General features: G+C 43.3%; 1 protein-coding gene across 13 annotated transcripts in view, besides 3 other annotated features; it reads left to right on the top strand.

Moving 5' to 3' along the window:
- Nucleotides 1-19,474, top strand: part of HIPK2 (homeodomain interacting protein kinase 2) — a 216,429-nt gene that overhangs the window by 93,559 nt on the left and 103,396 nt on the right. The gene's annotated exons all lie outside the window — the stretch shown is intronic.
- Nucleotides 1,597-1,766: an enhancer, noted in NCBI's record as "active region_26767". NCBI's record gives its function as "activates an Ori minimal core promoter by ATAC-STARR-seq in GM12878 lymphoblastoid cells {active_cell/tissue: GM12878}" and the evidence as "EXISTENCE:reporter gene assay evidence [ECO:0000049][PMID:35858748]".
- Nucleotides 2,743-3,942: an enhancer, noted in NCBI's record as "BRD4-independent group 4 enhancer chr7:139365244-139366443 (GRCh37/hg19 assembly coordinates)". NCBI's record gives its function as "activates an origin of replication core promoter dependent on BRD2, P300/CBP, MED14 and CDK7 cofactors, and independent of BRD4, by STARR-seq in HCT116 cells {active_cell/tissue: HCT116}" and the evidence as "EXISTENCE:reporter gene assay evidence [ECO:0000049][PMID:35650434]".
- Nucleotides 11,535-11,684: a silencer, noted in NCBI's record as "silent region_18698". NCBI's record gives its function as "represses an Ori minimal core promoter by ATAC-STARR-seq in GM12878 lymphoblastoid cells {active_cell/tissue: GM12878}" and the evidence as "EXISTENCE:reporter gene assay evidence [ECO:0000049][PMID:35858748]".

The raw sequence follows: 19,474 nt of genomic DNA, 5'->3' as shown, positions 1-19,474 counted from the left end.
CAGCCCTGTGTCAGCTTTTGACATACCTTCCTCACTAAGCTCAATCATTACTAGCTTTTGATTTAAAATGAGAGACATGCAACTCTTTCTTTCGCTTGAACACTTAGAAGTCATTGTAGGATTATTAATTGGCCTAATTTCCATATTATTGTATCTCAGAGAAGAGAGAGGCCCGAGAAGAAGGAGAGAGATGGGGGAACAGCTCATAGATGGAATACACACCACATGTTTGATTAAGTTTGCCATCTTATATGGGTGCAATTCATGGCACACAAGTACCATTACAATAGTAACATCAAAGATCATTAATCACAGGTCACCATAACAGATATCACAATGATGAAAAAGTTTGAAATATTGTGAGAATTACCAAAATGTGGCACAGAGACATGAAGTGAGCACATGCTTTTGGAAAAATGGTACTGATAGACCGGCTCGATGCACGGTTGCCACAAACCTTCAATTTGTGTAAAAAAAAAAAATCATGGTATCTGCAAAGCTCAGTCAAGCTAGGGGCAATATAATGAGGTATGTCTCTCTATATATATGCCCCTCCCCAAATTCCAAGCCCATTCAGTGTTTAAAACTATTTTCTAAAGTATTTGTAGCCCTTCAAAACCACAGGAGAGTGAGTAAGACCTAACTGTTGGTGTAATACAGAATAATGAATCTATCTATTTTACTCTGGAAAGGACATAGCCAACCCTCATGAAGCTGTATGACATGCCATTGCCTGCCAATGGTATGAATGCCATTGCCAGGGTATGACAGTGGCAGCCAACCTCCAGGAAGGCCCCTAATGACCCTCACCTCCTGGTATTCACCAGGATTGGTCTGTGTGACCCAGAGAATCTGGCAGAAATGACGGTGTTTCACTTCCAAGATTAGATTCTGAGAGGTTCTGCAGCTTCTGTCTTGGTATGCGTGTGTCTCTCTCTCTGGTATTTCTCGCTTTGGCTCCCGTGTTGTGAGCAGTCCTGTGGAGGCCCCCGTAGGGAGGAGCTGAGGCTCACAGACCGCAGCTGCCTTGGGGAGCTTGGAAACATCTTGATCGCAGCCTCATGAGGGACCCTGCACCAGACCCGGCTAGGCCGCTGCTGAAGCACTGGCCTAGAGCAACCATGAAGTAATGGTTATTTTAAGGCACTAAGTTTTGCGGTACCTTGTTACACATTAACAGGCAGCTAATGCAGTCTCTGTTCGCATTTTTATCCTCGTGTGTGGCACGCGTGTTATATAGTTAAGCATGAAGCAGGTCACGTCCAGGCTCCGAGGTGAGAGCCAGGCCCTTCCAGGTAATGCTAAATATTGTACAAACAGCAAGGTTTTGTTCATCAACCCAGGAGTGACCTTACTGAGTGGCGTGTTGGTGGTAAAAATGCCTTATATTTAAGAGAGAACACACATTCTCCTTTCTCTCCCACCAGAAAGTCTGGTTCTTGCTGCTCTGTCATTTCCCAGAAAGGACCAGCCTCTCTTGCTCCACCCCACTTCCTGTCTGTGGCCCTGTGATGCCAGGGGGCCCTCCACTGTCCTACAGAGGAGGGGACAAGGGGCAAGAGGGGCCAGAAGCATCTCTGGAATGCACACAGCTCATGAGCAGCTAGGCTTGCTCCAGCAGTCACATGTCCTGACTGGAGTCTTCCAGCGCCTTCTGTCCCCTCTGTTAGAAGAAAGGGGAACGCGGGTCCTTAACACAGTGCTTTTGGGAGATTGCCATTGACTCAGAGTCTGAGATTTACCATTAGGCGCATTTGAAACAATAAACATGCATGGAGCACTTACTGTGTGGCAGGACATGGTGCAGGGTGCTGTGGGGAGGAGATGAGTAAAACAGTGTTCCTGCTCTTGAGGAGCAGTCAAGCACAGTCATTACGGCCCCACCCACCACAGGGACCCAGAGGAGGGCACAGGCACGCAGCGGGAGGGATGAGGGAAAGCTTCCCGTAAGAGGTGGTGTCCACACTGCACCTGAAGAAGGTGGAACTGACATCTCTGTCCTAGGTGCCTCAACAGAGCCCTTCATTCCAACCCCTCATTGCACATGTATAGTTACAGGTCTGGCTACCCCTGCTCATGGATGAGTTTCTTGAGGCTAGAGATGGGTTTTACCCAGTGTTCCTGGTGCCAAGCCCAGGTCTTGACTCACTATGGGCTCTCAGTGGATGTTTGATGAGTGAGTGAGTGAGGGCATGTGGTGGATGATGAGGCTGGAGAGGTAACAGGACTGAATCATAAGGACCTTGCCTGTCGTGAATATTGAACAGCTTGGCAATAGAGGGGGTTTTCCTTCTGAGGAGTGGAAGCAACGTGGTCTATGGTATGTGCCAAGTGAGGGCAGAAGCTGGGGCAGTAGCCACATTGGCATCTCACCATGAGTCCTCTACATGGCCCAGGGTCTGTACCAGCATGACATAAGCCGTGCACGAGTAACAGGAGTGTCAGCCAGATCCGAGGGCTCCACTGTGATGCCTGCCCTGGAAAAGATAGAGCCCACTCAGGCCAGGCCATGGTGGTTTGAGCACCTCCAGCACCAGGGGAGATGCTGTCCTAGAACCAGGGCCCCCAGTCAGTGGACAAAGAAATGTAGGAAGATTCCAGCTCAGAGAACATCAGACCTTCTGCTCCCTGGAGCAGTGGTGGCTGCATGGACCCAGGGCTTGGTGCATGGAAAGTCCAGGCTCCGCACGCTGTGACTCTCCTTAAAGTGAGAATATTTTTCCCAGGAGTGCAAGGGCCTTTCATGTGAGGAGTTTTAAATGTGCTCTCTGGTGGTAGCCACAGCATCCTTAATTTTCTTGTACAGCAAAAGTCAATTTGGAATTGCAGGAAAGGAGGCTTTGTTCTCAGGTGATGTTGAGCAGCCTCTTTTGTGGTCACCTCTTGACACCCACACTGAGCGGGAGGAGGCGAGGGGAGTGCAGCACTGGCGCTGATTATAGAAAACAGCAGGGGTTCCGGAAGAAGCCTTTGGCTTTGGAATTGGGTTTGTGCTTCCATTTAAATGTGGAGGTGCCAGGTGTTCTGATAATTTCACTGCAAAATTTTGAAATCCGCTAATAAAGACCATTTAGAAGGACCTGAGAAGTGGGCTGTGTCCTCCCTCCTCTCCCACCCACCTCTCTCCTGCCACCAGCTCTGACCTGGGATGGACGGCAGCATGCTTCTGTTATCAAAACAGGCCAAAAAGAATGAAAAGCTAAAAGCAGGGAAAACTTCACAAGTTTAGATAAAGTTTTCAAGTGATTAAGTGCTGTGGCAGTGAAAACATTGACCCAATTGCAACTTGTAGGCTCCATCAGAGAGCTGTGGTTGACGGGCTCTCCTGTACATTTATATCAGGAGAGATGTGTTACCGGCTCCCTCAGAGTGTAAAGTGTACCCAAAATAGAGCTTGAAGAGTGGCTTTATCATGGAGTGACTCAGCGCCAGCTAAGAGGAAAGATGAATATAGCGTGACGATGTTCTCCACAGGAAACCCATGGCACGAAAACCAGGGGCGGGGAGGGTGCTTGTAGCACAGTGGCCCTGTGGCTGCCTCACTGGGCCCATGGCTGAGTAATGGGCTGACTGATGGCAGCCCTGTGGAAGCTGGCCTCAGACAACACAGGAAGCCCGCTCAGATTGTCTCTCAGAGCCTGTTCCCAAATGGGAAGCCACCAGCAAAAAAATCCCAGTGGGCTGTGCTCTTCATGTCCTGGTTGGGAAATTCAGGAAGCACACGTGAACACACACATGCCACAGACATGAAAAAGGTTCTGTCTTCTGAAGGCTGTTGGCCGATCTTAACATGAATTTTAAAAAATGATTTGCTACATTTGAGGCATTTCTTCAAGCCAGTTTTGGACACAATCCCTGGTTACTTTGTTCCTGGGGACATTCAGTACCCATGTCTGCCAAGCCCTGTAGTTTTGAAAACATCCCTGGCCCTCACAAAAGCCCTCATAAAACAGCATCCCCTCAAAACCCAAGGCACCTGGTAAGGAAAGAATTAAAGCCAGTGACGTGAATTTAATGTTCGATCCCAAAACCAGAGTTGACTTGGCTTGTCTGGGTTGTTCACCCAGGGGAGGGCTCTCCTCCACAAGGCCCAAGCCCTACTGGGGCTGCTTGGGCACCAGCCACGCTGTGGGGAGGGTGTTAATCGTGACTGAATCGTGATTCCATGTGGGAAACAGTCCTGCAGTCGGGGGACAGGAGGAGCCAGGCTGGAATCCAACACAAACAGTCCAGGGGCAGAGGGAACATTCCCGGGTACCTGTGTCCCTGAGTGACTTGAAAATGCTGAACTTATGCTGAATTCTGTTTAATGATTATTTGCGGGAGGGGAACAGGCATTCTTAAGAGATCGGTTTACCTTAGGAAATCCTGTACTCCCCCTGCTTTCCGGCCTTCCGGCCTCCTTGTATCCTGCACACGCTATTCCTTTGCATACATTTGCAGCGAACTTTGCTCCCCAGGGTATCTGGCTTTTGGGATAAAGACTAATGTCCATGTCAAAATGATTCTTGATAAAAGCATCCTAGATGTTAAATATTTATTTTAAGCTAAATGTTCTACTTCTGAGAGGTTAAAAAACAAATGCCTTTTCATGCAGAGCCTTTTGCCAGTCAATGTTTGAGTTTCTTTAGGCTTTTTTATTTGGCTCTGCAGCAGCTAGCTAACCAACTGCATTCCTGAGATGAGCTGACAAGGAGGCAGAAATGAAGAAATAAACAAAAAGCCATGTTAATTTCAAGCTTCAGTAGGAATACAAAGAGAAATATTAACATTTGCTGAATGACAAATAATGAAATGGCTGGAAAATTTTAATGCTTCTAGCATGCTTTTATAAGCTCTCCTGGAATTTTCCCCCCATCAGGTATTGCACATTTATAACCAGCAGTGCACCATGTAAAGGCAGTTCGATAGGTTGTTTAATTTAAAGATTGGTATTTCTGAGCATATAGTGTTCCTAATGCAATTCCTAACCCCATTTACACTTCTCTGTCTACCCGAAGTACCCACATCTTCTTAGCATAATCTTTATAATTGTTTGTTGCTATGGTTTTAATGGGTCCCCTTCAAAATTCAGGTGTTGCCAATGTGAGAGTATTAAAAGATAGGGCCTTTAAGAGGTGATTAGGCCGTGAAGGCTTCTCCCTGGTGAATGGGTTTAAGGCCCTTTAGAAAAGAGGCTTCATCATTCCCTTTGAAAACTGGCACAAGACAAGGATGCCCTCTCTCACCACGCCTATTCAACATAGTATTGGAAGTTCTGGCCAGGGCAATCCGGCAAGAGAAAGAAATAAAACGTATTCAAGTAGGAAGAGAGGAAATCAAATCGTCTCTCTTTGCAGATGACATGATTGTGTGTTTAAAAAACCCCATCGTCTCAGCCCAAAATCTCCTTAAGCTGATAAGCAACTTCAGCAAAGTCTCAGGATACAAAATCAATGTGCAGAAATCACAAGCATTCTTATACACCAATAATAGACAAACAGAGAGCCAAATCATGAGTGAACTCCCAGTCACAATTGCTATAAAGAGAATAAAATACCTAGGAATCCAACTTACAAGGGATGTGAAGGACCTCTTCAAGGAGAACTACAAACCACTGCTCAATGAAATAGAAGAGGATACAAACAAATGGAAGAACATTCCATGCTCATGGATAGGAAGAATAAATATTGTAAAAATGGCCATACTGCCCAAAGTAATTTATAGATTCAGTGCTATCCCCATCAAGCTACCACTGACTTTCTTCACAGAATTAAATTTCATATGGAACCAAAAAAGAGCCTGTATAGCCAAGACAATCCTAAGCAAAAAGAACAAAGCTAGCGGCATCATGCTACCTGACTTCAAACTATACTACAAGGCTACAGTAACCAAAACAGCATGGTACTGGTACCAAAACAGTTATATAGACCAATGGAACAAAACAGAGGCCTCAGAAATAATGCCACACATCTGCAACCATCTGATCTCCGACAGACCTGTCAAAAACTAGCAGTGGGGAAGGATTCCCTATTTAATAAATGATGTTGGGAAAACTGGCTAGCCATATGCAGAAAACTGAAACTGGACCCCTTCCTTATACCTTATACAAAAATATAAAAACCCTAGAAGAAAACCTAGGCAATACCATTCAGGACATAGGCATGGCAAAGACTTCATGACTAAAACACCAAAAGCAATGGCAACAAAAGCCAAAATTGACAAATGGGATCTAATTAAACTAAAGAGCTTCTGCACAGCAAAAGAAACTATCATCACAGTGAGCAGGCAACCTACAGAATGGGAGAAAAATTTTGCAATCTATCCATCTGACAAAGGGCTAATATCCAGAATCTACAAAGAACTTAAACAAATTTACAAGAAAAAAACAAACAACCCCATCAAAAAGTGGCCGAAGGATATGAACAGACACTTCTCGAAAGAAGACATCTATGCAGCCAACAAACATATGAAAAAAAGCTCATCATCACTGGTCATCAGAGAAATGCAAATCAAAACCACAATGAGATACCATCTCACACCAGTTAGAATGGCGATCATTAAAAAGTCAGGAAACAACAGATGCTGGAGAGGATGTGGAGAAATAGGAACACTTTCACACTGTTGTTGGGAGTGTAAATTAGTTCAACCATTGTGGAAGACAGTGTGGTGATTCCTCAAGGATCTAGAACCAGGAATACCATTTGACCCAGCAATTCCATTACTGTGGCGGGCTAGGGGAGGGATAGCATTAGGGGAAATACCTAATGTAGATAACTGGTTGATGGGTGCAGCAAACCATCATAGCACATGTATACCTATGTACCAAACCTGCACGTTCTGCACATGTATCCCAGAACTTAAAGTATAATTTAAAAAAAATAATAGAAAAGTGGCTTCATGTAGCTGTTAGCTTAGCTTGCTCTCTTGACCTTCTGCCTTCCGCTGTGTGAGGGCTCAGCAAGAAGGCCCTCCCCAGACACCAAATGCCGGCACCTTGATCTTGAACTTCCCAGCCACCAGAACTGTGAGAAATAAACTTTATAAATTACCCAATGTTGGGTGTTGTTTTATAGTAGCACAAACGAACTAAGACATTTTCTCACTAAATGAAGTCACTTTACCCAGCTAGAAGGATGGTCACAGGATCATTATTGTTGTTTAAAAAATGTGTATATATGTGTGTGTGTGTGTGTGTGTCTCCATATATATATATAATATATATAATATCAGCCCCTCTCTCTCTACATACACACACACACACATACACACACATCCCACATTAGAAATACTATGGTTTGGCCGGGCGTGGTGGCTCACGCCTGTAATCCCAGCACTTTGGAAGGCCGAGGTGGGTGGATCACCTGAGGTCAGGAGTTCGAGACCAGCCTGGCCAACATGGTGAAACCCCATCTCCACTAAAAATGCAAAATTAGCCAGGTGTGGTGGTGCATGCCTGTAATCCCAGCTACTCGGGAGGCTGAAGCAGTAGAATCACTTGAACCCAGGAGGCGGAGGTTGCAGTGAGCCGAGATCATGCCATTGCACTCCAGCCTGGGCAACAAGAGCAAAACTATCTCAAAAAAAAAAAAAAGAAAAAGAAAAAAAGAAATACTATGGTTCTAATACTTGTGTTCATTTGTCAATTAGATGTATGGCACTATTAATTTCAGTTTAATTCAGTTTAGTACATGTTTTTCGAGTACCTACTGTGTACAAGGAACTGTGTGGGGTACCTTCTGAGCACTTCACCTGCTCTCCAGAGATGCCTACTGAGTGTTTCATTGCAGAAAAGAAGTGCTATGGCATGTTGGAAGAAGGGGGACTCATATCTAGCTTTGGTCTGTTGAACCAAATAAACAGATCTGTTTGTTCTTCCCTACTAGATCTTAGTGCTCACAGAAAAAGGGCTGTCATTCACTTTGTATACCCAGTATCTGGGAGGTGCTTGGCACATGGTGGGTAACCAACAAATATCTGTTAAATGGATCACATTGGGTGAGCACAAAGATGTGATGGAAATCTGTGAGGCGGGCAGAGGAAAGTGTAGGGCTCTTGACTGTCAGTGATGGATGTGAGGATACTTCTGGTAAGGAGACTATTGTGTAGGCTCAGACACCCGCAGGAGGGCAACCAGAAGTTCAGCATGGGTGAGCCCAGGGATTCCCTTGCCAGGGTTAGCAAACTAGGGTCCACAGGCCAACCACATCCATTCATGTACCTGTGGTCTCTGGCAACTCTTGTGCCACGTCAGCAGAGATGAGTAGATGCAGCAGAGAGGAGTTGCGGTGTATAGATAGCCTGGTAAGCCGAAAAGACTTAGTATTTGTTTCTTTATGGAAAGTGTTTGCTGAACTCTGCCATAGAGGCACAGAACAAAAATGAGCGCAGTTACCTTAGGGGGCCCCATTGCAAAGTGACGATGCATACTTGGTTCTCTTTTGATCAGGAGACGACTGACCTGATTGGAGATATGTAAGGTTTAGGAAAGTTGACATGAGAATGATTCAGTGGACTGGAGCTTTTGGGAAAGGGACCAAGTATGAGAAAACCAATTAGGAGTATATTACAGCCATCTGTTCAGGCATCATTGAAGAAAGAGCATCATTTTGAGTCTTATCTAAGCGTTGGGGTTGGCAAGTATTACCTCCTAGGCCAGAAAGCCTTGTCCTTCTCCCAGTCCCAGTTCATGTCACTAGATTGGGGGTCCACCTCACAGCTCCAGAAACCTCAGGTCAACCCCACCCAATCGGTCACATGCTAACTTCCTCTCTGGTGATCTTTGCACAAACATATAACTCACAGCATGGTGTCTGGTTCTTGCTGACATCAACTTTGTAACTGTTTTCAGATTATTTTTTCTTTTCTCCACAGTAACTCTCAGGCTTCTTGAGGTCAGAACCATGCATTCTTGTTTTGCTGCCACCTCCCCACCTGCCTGCCCCTCATGCTGTGTCGAGTCCGCATGTGAGAAATAAGATGAGAGTCACTGGCAGCAAAGTGAGTGCCGACATTTAAATATGGAAGCAAGTCTGGGGCCCCAGACTCCAAGCGCCTAGTACCTGTGGCCTTGCTCACTGTTTTTCATATGCTGTCCTCTGGTCTTGTTTGTAAAGTGACCTGTTGCACAACCTGTCAGTACCCTGAAGGTCAGTGACTGTGTCCACACCTCTTTGTGTTCTCGGTGGTTAGCATAATATTTTTAACATAACGGACTCTTTTTAAATGTTTGGTGATGACACAGTCACTGAGCAGGATGTGCTGTAAGAAGAAAACATACTCTCCCTCATTCTGTGAATTAGTCAGAATATATCAGGTTAATAACGGTAAGAGCAAGCTTCTGTTGGTCTGATGCACCAGCATCTATTGGATCAAGCAATTAAACCCATGTCAGTCATTTTGGTACAATAGAACTAAAATTAGACACAGCATAAATACAATCAAGACGTGAGCACGTTTCCCAGCATTAGCCTTACGATGACAAAGGCAAATGCAGAAGTGTGCGAACTTCCAGGACAGGTCCGGAGATGGCTGTTCCAGAGAAGAGCCAGGGTGGATGGCAGGAAGCGGCAGCTGGGATGGAACCTCCAGTCCATATGTGGCACCTCTTTTACATCTTCATCGTAAGCGCTACCAGGAGTTTGAAATGCAAAAGTTTTAGAAATATAAACCAGGCTTTACTTAGTAATATTCATTAATGACCTAAACCAAGAGAGAATCTCCTACTTAATGAAGTGATTAATTAGCTCTGGGAATTGAAGTCGAAAACAGAAGACTAATTGATTAATAGATTACTGTGTTCATTTTTCTTCCTTTCGTGGAAAGGAGCCAGAATTTGGTCCATGCCAGGTTTGCTGCTTTGGGCTAGCACCATGCTGCCTGGAATCTGTTCTCGCCTTTCCCACGTAGCCTGTCTGCTTCCCATCCTCATGCCTTTCTTCCTGCCCTCTCCACAGGTGGAAGGCCTTCCGTTTAAAACCTTGCTCTTTCAGGCTCAGCACGCATCTCATCCCCAGGATGGATTTGCGCTCTTCTGACACTACCGAGCTCTCCTTTAAGTCACCGTTTTACCTAATCAATACCATACGGCTTAGCATTTAATTTTTCTTATTGCTTTATGTGTGGAATAATGGAAAAGAATTAAAAGATTGAAAAACCAAACACCCACCTCACTCCACATTAGGTGTGTCAAATCTGAGCTGATGAGAGGCCTTCCCCACCACAGCTCTGAGCACCAAATGAGATGATGTAGGGAAGATTCCTTATAAACTAAAAAGTGCCGCACAACATTTAGTTATTGGCACCGTCTTTTTTATATATTAATCTTAACTTCTCTACTATATTTGTAATTAAAATCTCCAGCCAAAAGTCAGCAAATTTTTCTTTTTTTTTTTTTTGAGACAGTCTCACTCTGTCATCCGGGCTGAAGTGCAGTAGGCTCATCTCACTGCAACCTCTGCCTCCTCAGCTCAAACGATTGTTCTGCCTCAGCCTCCCGAGTTGCTGGGACTACAGGCGTAGTCTGCAGTCTGCCTAGCTAATTTTTTTTTTTTTTTTTTTTTTTTTTTTTTTTTTAGTACAGATAGGGTTTCACCATGGTGGCCAGGCTGGTCTTGAACTCCTGACCTCAAGTGATCCACCTGGCTCACCCTCCCAAAGTGCTGGGATTACAGATGTGAGCCACCACGCCCTGTCCAAAGTCAGCAAATTTTTTAACATTCCTTAGGAATGGGCTTTGCTCTGTGCCAATTTTAAAAAGTCAGACTTCTTCAGGTTACCTACCATCACTGTAGGTAGAAGGATAGGGAAGACCCCACATGAAACAGTTAGAGAACTTACATGATAATGGTAAGCACCTGGTGTCAGCCCAGTCTCTACGTCCCTCCTCACAGCTCCCTCAGCCCCTGGGAGTCCTCACACAGATGGCCTATGACAGCCCTCAGCCTCCAGGGGCTTCCCCAACCCACTTAGTGTTACAAAAAGAGGCAGAAGCTGATCAGAGAGGAGGTTGGGGGAATTTGGCCGTATGCTCAGAGGCATTGGTAGCTAAGTGACTTTTTCCCAGACAGGCTGGTCTCCTGTAAGAGAGAGAGAGAACTGACAGATTATGCGAGAGAATGCGGCTCCGCCACCATCAAGGTCAGAAGCCTGCCCCTACTCTCATTATGTGTTGCTAGCCAACACACTCCTTCAGTTTGTTTCCAGCTGATCATCTTTCTGTCTTCTGCATTCCCAGTTCGTAATCTGCACTCTCTTCTCTCTCCACGGGCCCCAGAGCAGATGGGTCACTTCTTTTGGTTTCAAATACAATTTAGTGGCCATCTTCCCTCCCATCTTTTTCATTAAAAAAAAAAAAAAAGTTCTAACCACTGCTTTTCTAATCACCACTGTTCTAGCCACTAGGACTTTCTGTCCTCCACAAATCTATTGCTGTTAAAATATTTGTTTTGATTGTTCCAGGTGGTAAATGTTACCTTATGGGCTTTGTTCCAGCTCGCATTACTTTTTGCAAGGAGGATACTAAGTTCTAAAACATTGAGTCATACCATGACTGAGAATAGTGAAAGTGCAAATTCTTTATTAATACAGAAGTTAAAGATGAGGTAGTCATGTAGAAGACAACCTGCGATGATTAAATAAACTATGATTCTGGTTCAGTGATTCTAATTAATCACCAGAAGTGAATAAAAATGTTACTTGTGGCCAGGCGCGGTGGCTCATGCCTGTAATCCCAGCACTTTGGGAGGCTGAAGCGGGTGGATCACCTGAGGTCAGGAGTTCGAGACCAGCCTGGCCAACATGGCGAAACCCCATCACTACTGAAAATACAAAAAATTAGGCGGGCGTGGTGGCAGCGCCTGTAGCTACTCAGGAGGCTGAGGCAGGAGAATCACCTGAACCCAGGAGGCAGAGGTTGCAGTGAGCCGAGATCGCGCCATTGCACTCCAGCTGGAGCTACAAGAGCGAAACTCCATCTCAAAAAAAAAAGTTACTTGTAATTATTTTTTTTGAAGTCTTCATGTTCTAAGTCAAGACTTAAACTGACCATTTTTTTTACAAATAGTTAATGGTTACTTGGTATGACATATTTAGAACTTACCCAGTAGTTTTTATCATCTTGACTGGTCCTCGCTATGAAAGATATTTTATAATTTCATGCCAACTTACATAAATGTAGCATTTGATTTTCAGGTAACTAAATCACTAGCTAATCAATTCTACTTATCTTCAAGTGTTATGAGGTAGATGTAAATTCCGTGAGGGCAGGGAGTCATCTGTAGGCGAATCATCTGTTTTATTCCCTGCATTATCTTTAGCATCTAAATCAGTGTTCAGCATACACTGTGGTCACTAGATAAATATTGAACAATGAATGAGTAAGCTATAGACATAAACTATAAGAAACTCATAAAAATCTTTTATAAAAATCTAGAATCATATAATGTTAAACTTCAGATGTATCTTTTTAAACCAGAGGTATAAGTAGCAAACAAATGGGAGGAATTAAAAAATTCTTTGCCTTGAATCTGAACTATCACATTCAAGGCTTAGATTTTAGTGATGACCATTTCTCATAAATGCATTAAAGTCACTTCATTAAAACTTGATTCTCAGCCGGGTGCAGTGGCGCACACCTATAATCCCAGCACTTTGGGAGGCCGAGGCAGGCAGATCACCTGAGGTCGTTCGAGACCAGCCTGGCCAACATGGTGAAACCCTGTCTCTACTAAAAATGCAAAAAAATTAGCTGGGGTGGTGGCGTGCGCCTGTAATCCCAGCTACTTGGAAGGATGAGGCAGGAGAATTGCTTGAACCAGGAGACGGAGGTTGCAGTGAGCCGAGATCATGCCATTGCACTCTAGCCTGGGTGGCACAGCGAGAGACTCTGTCAAAAAAAAAAACTTTATTCTCAACTGAAAGTACTACCAATGAGTCTAATCCATTTTGGTACACAGATCAGATAAACAGTTCTTAATCATCTTCAATTTTCTGATCTACATTCAGCAGTGTTTATGGAGACTCATGTAAAGATAGGTGCAGGGCAATTACAATGTTAGAAAAAATGTCACGCTAGAAGTTCTTTTTAAGTAAGTCAGTAAATACAAAGTTCACCAGTGTTGTTTTCTATAAACCTGTCTTTGGTATAATTACTATTTCTTTTAATTATTCTACTTTTTACCTTTAGAATCTTCTATTATTGTTTGACATGCCAATTTCAATTCCCTGAATTCCAGTTGTAATACTTTGTTTTCAAGTATTATAAAAATATCTTAATGTTCTTTCTGTAGCAGATCACTCTTTTGGTTCATTGTTTCCAGTTGTGGAGTTTTAAAGTGTTATTTTTCAAGTTGTAATGAGAACTAGAAGGTATTTAAAATTGGCTTTAAAAACCTATTTTGGGCCGGGTGCGGTGGCTTACACCTGTAATCCCAGCACTTGGGGAGGCTGAGGCGGGCAAATCACTTGAGGCCAGGAGTTGGAGACCAGCCTGGACAACGTGGCAAAACCCTGTCTCTACCAAAAATACAAAAATTAGCCAGGCATGGTGGCGCAGGCCTGTAATCCCCGCCACTAGGGTGGCTGAGGCAGAATTGCTTGAATCTGGAAGGCGGAGAGGGCAGTGAGCTGAGATTGTGCCATTGCACTCCAGCCTGGACAGCAGAGCAAGACTCTGCCTCAAAAAAAAAAAAAAAAAAAAAAGAAAGAAAGAAAGAAAGAAAGAAAGAAAAGAAAAAGAAATAAAACCTATTTTGAATGATTGGGAATGCAAAGGTGGTAGCTACACACCTCCCTTTTTAATAGCTGCAGTCAGCAGGAATCAAATAATTACACCATTTTTTTTTATTTTTCCTTCACTTTTTTTGTTCTTTTTTTTTTTCAAGACAGGGTCTTGCTCTATCACCCAGGCTGGAGTGCAGTGGTGCAATCATGGCTCACTGCAACCTCAGTCTCCTAGGCTCAAGCAATCCTCCTGGAGTAGCTGGGACTACAGGTGTGTGCCATCATGCCCAGCTAATTTTTTTTTTTAACTGATTTTTTGTAGAGATAGGCTCTCGTTATGATGCCCTGGCTGGTCTTGAACTCTTGGCCTCAAATGATCCTCCCTCTTCAGCCTACCACAATGCTGGGGTCACAGGTGTGAGCCACCATCCCCAGCCACAGTTTCCTTAGACATATGAAGAGCTGGGTGGCAATGTCCAGAATCTCAATTCAGAATGCAGATCAGGGGGACTCTTTGAGTCTGGCAACCCCAACCCGCCCGGAAAAACAAACAGCCTTGTAGGACAACAGCCTTTTAGGACTTGAACCTTCTCAGGCCCGCCTCTCAAAACAATATGACTTGAAAATGTTTAGTTTTTCTTGTATTGTCTCACTTGCCAAACCTCCGAAAGCAATTTGAGAGTAATTTCAACCACATCTTTTAGCAGGCCTTGTGAAAAATAAATTTAACAGGTTAATTGTGTGCCGTTTTGATTTGTCTTGGCATCTCAATAAGTAAAAGGTTAAAATCATGGCCACAAAAAGTAAATAAAGCTTGATTATTCCAGTTGAAAATTCATCCATGGGTACTCTAGTGCCTGGCTTTCGTGTTGACCTCATTGCCATATGACCACCATCAATAGCTCTTTATATTTAATTAATTTCCTAAAAAAACCACACTCACACATTTGTAATGTTTGTAATCTTTTTATTCCATGATAATTGATGTAGCCTAGCGTAATTGTAGTTTTTGTGTGTGTGTGAAGTATCTGACATTCTGTGCTTTAGTACGTTTTATTTCATCACTTAATGTGTCCCCCCCACCCGCCCACTGGCTGTGACAGTGTTTTTGCGAATGAAACAGTTCAGTGAGACCTGGGAATTTCCTGTGGCATTTATGTGGTCTCATGCTCATCTCTATTTGCCAGATACCATCCGTGTAAGAACCATGCTCAACAGATACATTTTGGAGAACCAGATGTCTCATTTTGTCATTCACCAATGAGTCTTGAAAGGCTGAATTCAAGAAGACAACTTTTTAAGATCTTTCTCTCTCAGTCTACAAAAGAAAAAACGGGCTTATTACTGTCACCGCTGCCTTTAATTATGTACAGTCACAATACAATTATCTCCCTATTTGGGTGTTATCTCCCCTGCCAGATCACCAATGCCTCAAATTGGGAGAGCACGGCTTCTGTTTATTGTTCATCCTTTGAAATGACTTAAAAGGAAGCTGAGTACACAGTTGACCCCCTAGCCAAGGGGATTGATAGTGGTCTCGGGCTGGGGAGAGGACTCTGTGATTCTTCCCAAAAGGTCACTCCCTATCCAGAATGATAAGTCCTCAGTTTTTAGAATGTAGTTGTTAGGTAAAGGGATTAATCCAGAGAAAGAGATTTTAAGGCTGCATCATTGATTTTATTGTTTTGGATAAGAACGTGGAATTGGCTTTTCTGTAAATTGAGTACATTATATAAGGCACAGGTTAAAGTGATCCTTCCACGTGAATTCTTTCATGGTTATTTGATTATTTTCAGAATATCTTGACATTTGAAAGGCATACAGACAAAAGCCAATCATGTAAATAATTGCATTTCTAAAACAGTCATCAGTCTTCTTTTACTTCACCATTTTTAACCATTTGGATTCAAAGCTGGATTTTATCTCAACTAAATAGAACAGCTAATATCCAATTTAATGTGCAACTGTAACCAGTCAGACCCAGAAATTTTGAATAGCATTTGTAACTTTTAATCACAAAATTAATGGCATTAAACTCTAACAGAATAGATTCCATTTGTTAATTTTTTCTAATCAAACTTCAGATATTTATCCATGCCTCAGGTGAGAAATGTCTCACCAGACACCCAGTTAAATGAAAAGTAAATCATACCTTTTTTTTTTTTTTTGAGACAGAGCCTTGCTCTGTCACCCAGGCTGGAGTGCAGTGGCGCGATCTCACTGGAGCTTGCTCACTGCAAGCTCTGCCTCCCGGGTTCACGCCATTCTCCTGCCTCAGCCTCCCGAGTAGCTGGAACTACAGGCACACACCACCATGCCCAGCTAATTTTTTTGTATTTTTAGTAGAGATGGGGTTTCACCATGTTAGCCAGGATGGTCTTGATCTCCTGACCTCGTGATCCACCCACCTCGGCCTCCCAAAGTGCTGGGATTACAGGTGTGAGCCACTGCACTCGGCCAGTAAATCATACCTTTTTAAAATAGCATTTCACATTAATTATACTTACTTAGTTAACACTGAGGTTATCTATTATTGCATAAGATACCGTTGATTTTAGTTGCATATCATATGCAGGTAACTGCTTGCTTGCTTGCTTTTTTTTTTTTTTTTTGAGATGGAGTTTTGCGCTTGTCACCCAGGCTGGAGTGCAATGGTTTGATCTCGGCTTGCTGCAACCTCCACCTCCTGGGTTCAAGCGATCGCCTGTCTCAGCCTTCCGAGTAGCTGAGATGACAGTGCATGCCATCACACCCGGCTAATTTTTGTATTTTTAGTAGAGACAGGGTTTCATCATATTGGTCAGGCTGGTCTCGAACTCCTGACCTCAGGTGATCCACCCATCTCGGCCTCCCAAAGTGCTGCTGGGATTACAGGTGCGAGCCACCGCTCCCAGCCACAAGTAATTGCTTTCTTTGTTCTTACCTAAAAGATAAGCCAAAGTAAAATAGAATATATTTACTACTTAACACCTATGAAACTAGATTGTTCTAATGTATAAAGGAAATTAACCAATATGTTTTATATATTATACAAATGTACAAATATTTTCCCGAGAATCTGGCAATGTTTCTAAAAAGCAGCTCATTCTTTGTTGTTGTTTTCTGATTATAAAAGCTAGTGAGTCAGTACCACTTCTGAAATGGCAGTCACTACATTAGGATCCTGCAGCAGTGATTCAGCACCAGATTAGTGACACTCTGCAGTGTTACTAGTTGTCACAAAGGGTAGATCAAAAAGTATAAAATTAATTAAAAACTATGTATGTGTACAGTTCTTCTAAAGGTCAGTTTTTCAAATCATATCCCCAGCCATGAATATTTTTATATCCTTTTACCTGATGATCTCATTCCTTAAAATTATAAGTAATTAATTTTTTAAAAGCTATATGTGTATATGTGATTATCCAACTGTTTCTAAAGATTAAATATTAAAAACAACCAAAATCAGCAAATGAGCAGTGACAAAGTTTATAAGATGGAATATTAATAATTGGTGGACTTGATTATAAGTAGAAAGACCAAAACTATGCAAGGGTAACTATAGGCTATCAAGTGACAAAAAGAATGCAAAATTATATGATACTATGATTACAACTATGTATTTAAGGAGTTAAATGAAAATTTATTGTGTTAGAGTTAGAGTGTGGAGTTTTTTTGTTTTGTTTTTTTTTTTTAAGAAGGAGTCTCGCTCTGTTGCCCAGGCTGGAGTGCAGTGGCGCAATCTCGGCTCACTGCAACCTCTGCCCCCCAACAAGGTTCAAGCGATTCTTCTGCCTCAGCCTCCTGAGTAGCTGGGATTACAGGATCCTGCCACTACACCCAGCTAATTTTTGTATAGCAGCAGAGACGGGTTTCGCCATTTTGGCCAGGCTGGTCTAGAACTCCTGACCTCAGGCCGTCTACCTGCCTCGGCCTCCCAAACTGCTAGGATTATAGGTGTGAGCCACTGTACCCAGCCAGAATGTGGATTTTTTAAATTTTGTTTTCTTCATGTTGTTACGAAGTTGTCTAATACATTTCTAACATCTTTTTGTTATATCAGCACTTTATGGAGGACTAGAAGGCATCAGTCCATATCCCCAAAATATGGTGTCTTGTTGTACTGTGGTGCCTCTTAACAAATGATTGTATTCATTTGTGGCCTTCTAAAAGAGTGACTGCTTTTCTGAGAGTCTTTTACCTACTCCCAGAAAGTTATTTACTCTGTGGGACAGTTCATTCTGTTGCATCTTATCTGAGTACTTAAAGCCCCAAGGAAGAAGATGATATTTGCCAGTACATAAACTGACATTTTGGCACCTAATCTTTGACTTTAAGAAGAACCAGAGGACCCTTGATGGTTCCAGTGAGCCCTGGGTCTTCTGTGCTTTCGTGGCGAAGGCCTCTTTCAGAGGACACACCACGGCAGCCCCTGCTCCTCAAGTCTCAGAAGGCCTGAACCCATGGTAGCTGGAAATAATAGCTTGACATTCCTCCCTCATTTTAAACTGTGATTTTTTTTTTAAACACTCTTCTTGACCTTTTCTTTGAAGGAGGAACAAAACAGGGAAAACATTGCTCTTCAGTACACTAGTGAATTATTTTGACAATGGCAGTCTCCCGAAACAGGCTACCATGTCATCCCTACGCTTTTCTCTTGTGTGTCTTTGATTGGGTGTCATTGCCAGTCCTTACAGAAATTGGCTTCTGGCCCCCAATAGTCACTGTCTATCGGCAGGACCTATCACATAATTGCTATCTTGAAAGCACCATCTGGGCAGCTCAGTGTTTAAAAAAAAAAAAAAAAAAGGCAGACCTCCTTATTGACTTGAAAGAGCTTACAGTCTGCTTGTAAACAGAAGACATGAAATGACTGAAGAATGTTCTCAAAGCTCAACATGAACAAGTCACATTACAGACATTTGAACTGAACTGAATGCTGAAGGACCTTGAACAAATGAGCATCTGGGTCAGATTAGCTAGGCAGATGGCACTGGGTGCCCAAATGGAGTGAGCATGCATGGAAGAAAAAGTGAAGGCCCAGGCACTCATTTAGAGGGGAGGAGTTTGGTAATATAATGAGGATAAAGAATGCTTGTAGATTTCTGGTTAGTGAGTAGTAGAATAAAAATTGTGACTAAGCACCATGGGTGGATGGATGGATGGATGGATGGATGGATGGATGGATGGATGGATGGATGTGGCCAGGAGGCTGAAGGCAGTGCTCTATCCAGGAGAGCCAGGTCAGCGCATGCATAGCTAGGGCATAAGCTAAGAAAATGGGGAAGACACAGCAAATTCCTGATACTTTACATAAAAGGAGTTTGTTGGGTTTTATTTTAAAAGTGTTGAATGTGAGATAAAAAAGAAGAAGGGTTGGGATCCCTAATGTAGATGAATAGCTTTGTTTCAGGTCCGCCCTTCTGGGCACAGCGGGTCACACCTGTAATCCCAGCACTTTGGGAGACCAAGGCAGGAGGATTGCTTGAGCCCAGGAGTTCAATACCAGCCTGGGCAACATAGTAAGACCTCCATCTCTGTAAAAAATTCAAAAATCAACCTGGCATAGTGGCATGCAACTGCAGTCCCCGCTACTCAGGAGGCTGAGGTGGGAGGACCACCTAAGCGCAGGAGGTCTAGGCTGCAGGGAGCCATGATTGTACCACTGCATTCCAGCCTGGGTGACAGAGCAAGACCCTGTCTAAAAAAAAAAAAAAAAAGAGAGAGAAAGAAGAAGGGTAACCAAGGAAAGAGCTGGAAGGAATTTTAAGCCTTTGGAAACTGTTGTTATGGT

The sequence above is a fragment of the Homo sapiens genome, chromosome 7 (genome assembly GCF_000001405.40).
Source record: "Homo sapiens chromosome 7, GRCh38.p14 Primary Assembly".
Classification (NCBI taxonomy): domain Eukaryota; kingdom Metazoa; phylum Chordata; class Mammalia; order Primates; family Hominidae; genus Homo; species Homo sapiens.
This window is presented reverse-complemented; position numbering and strand designations above follow the sequence as displayed.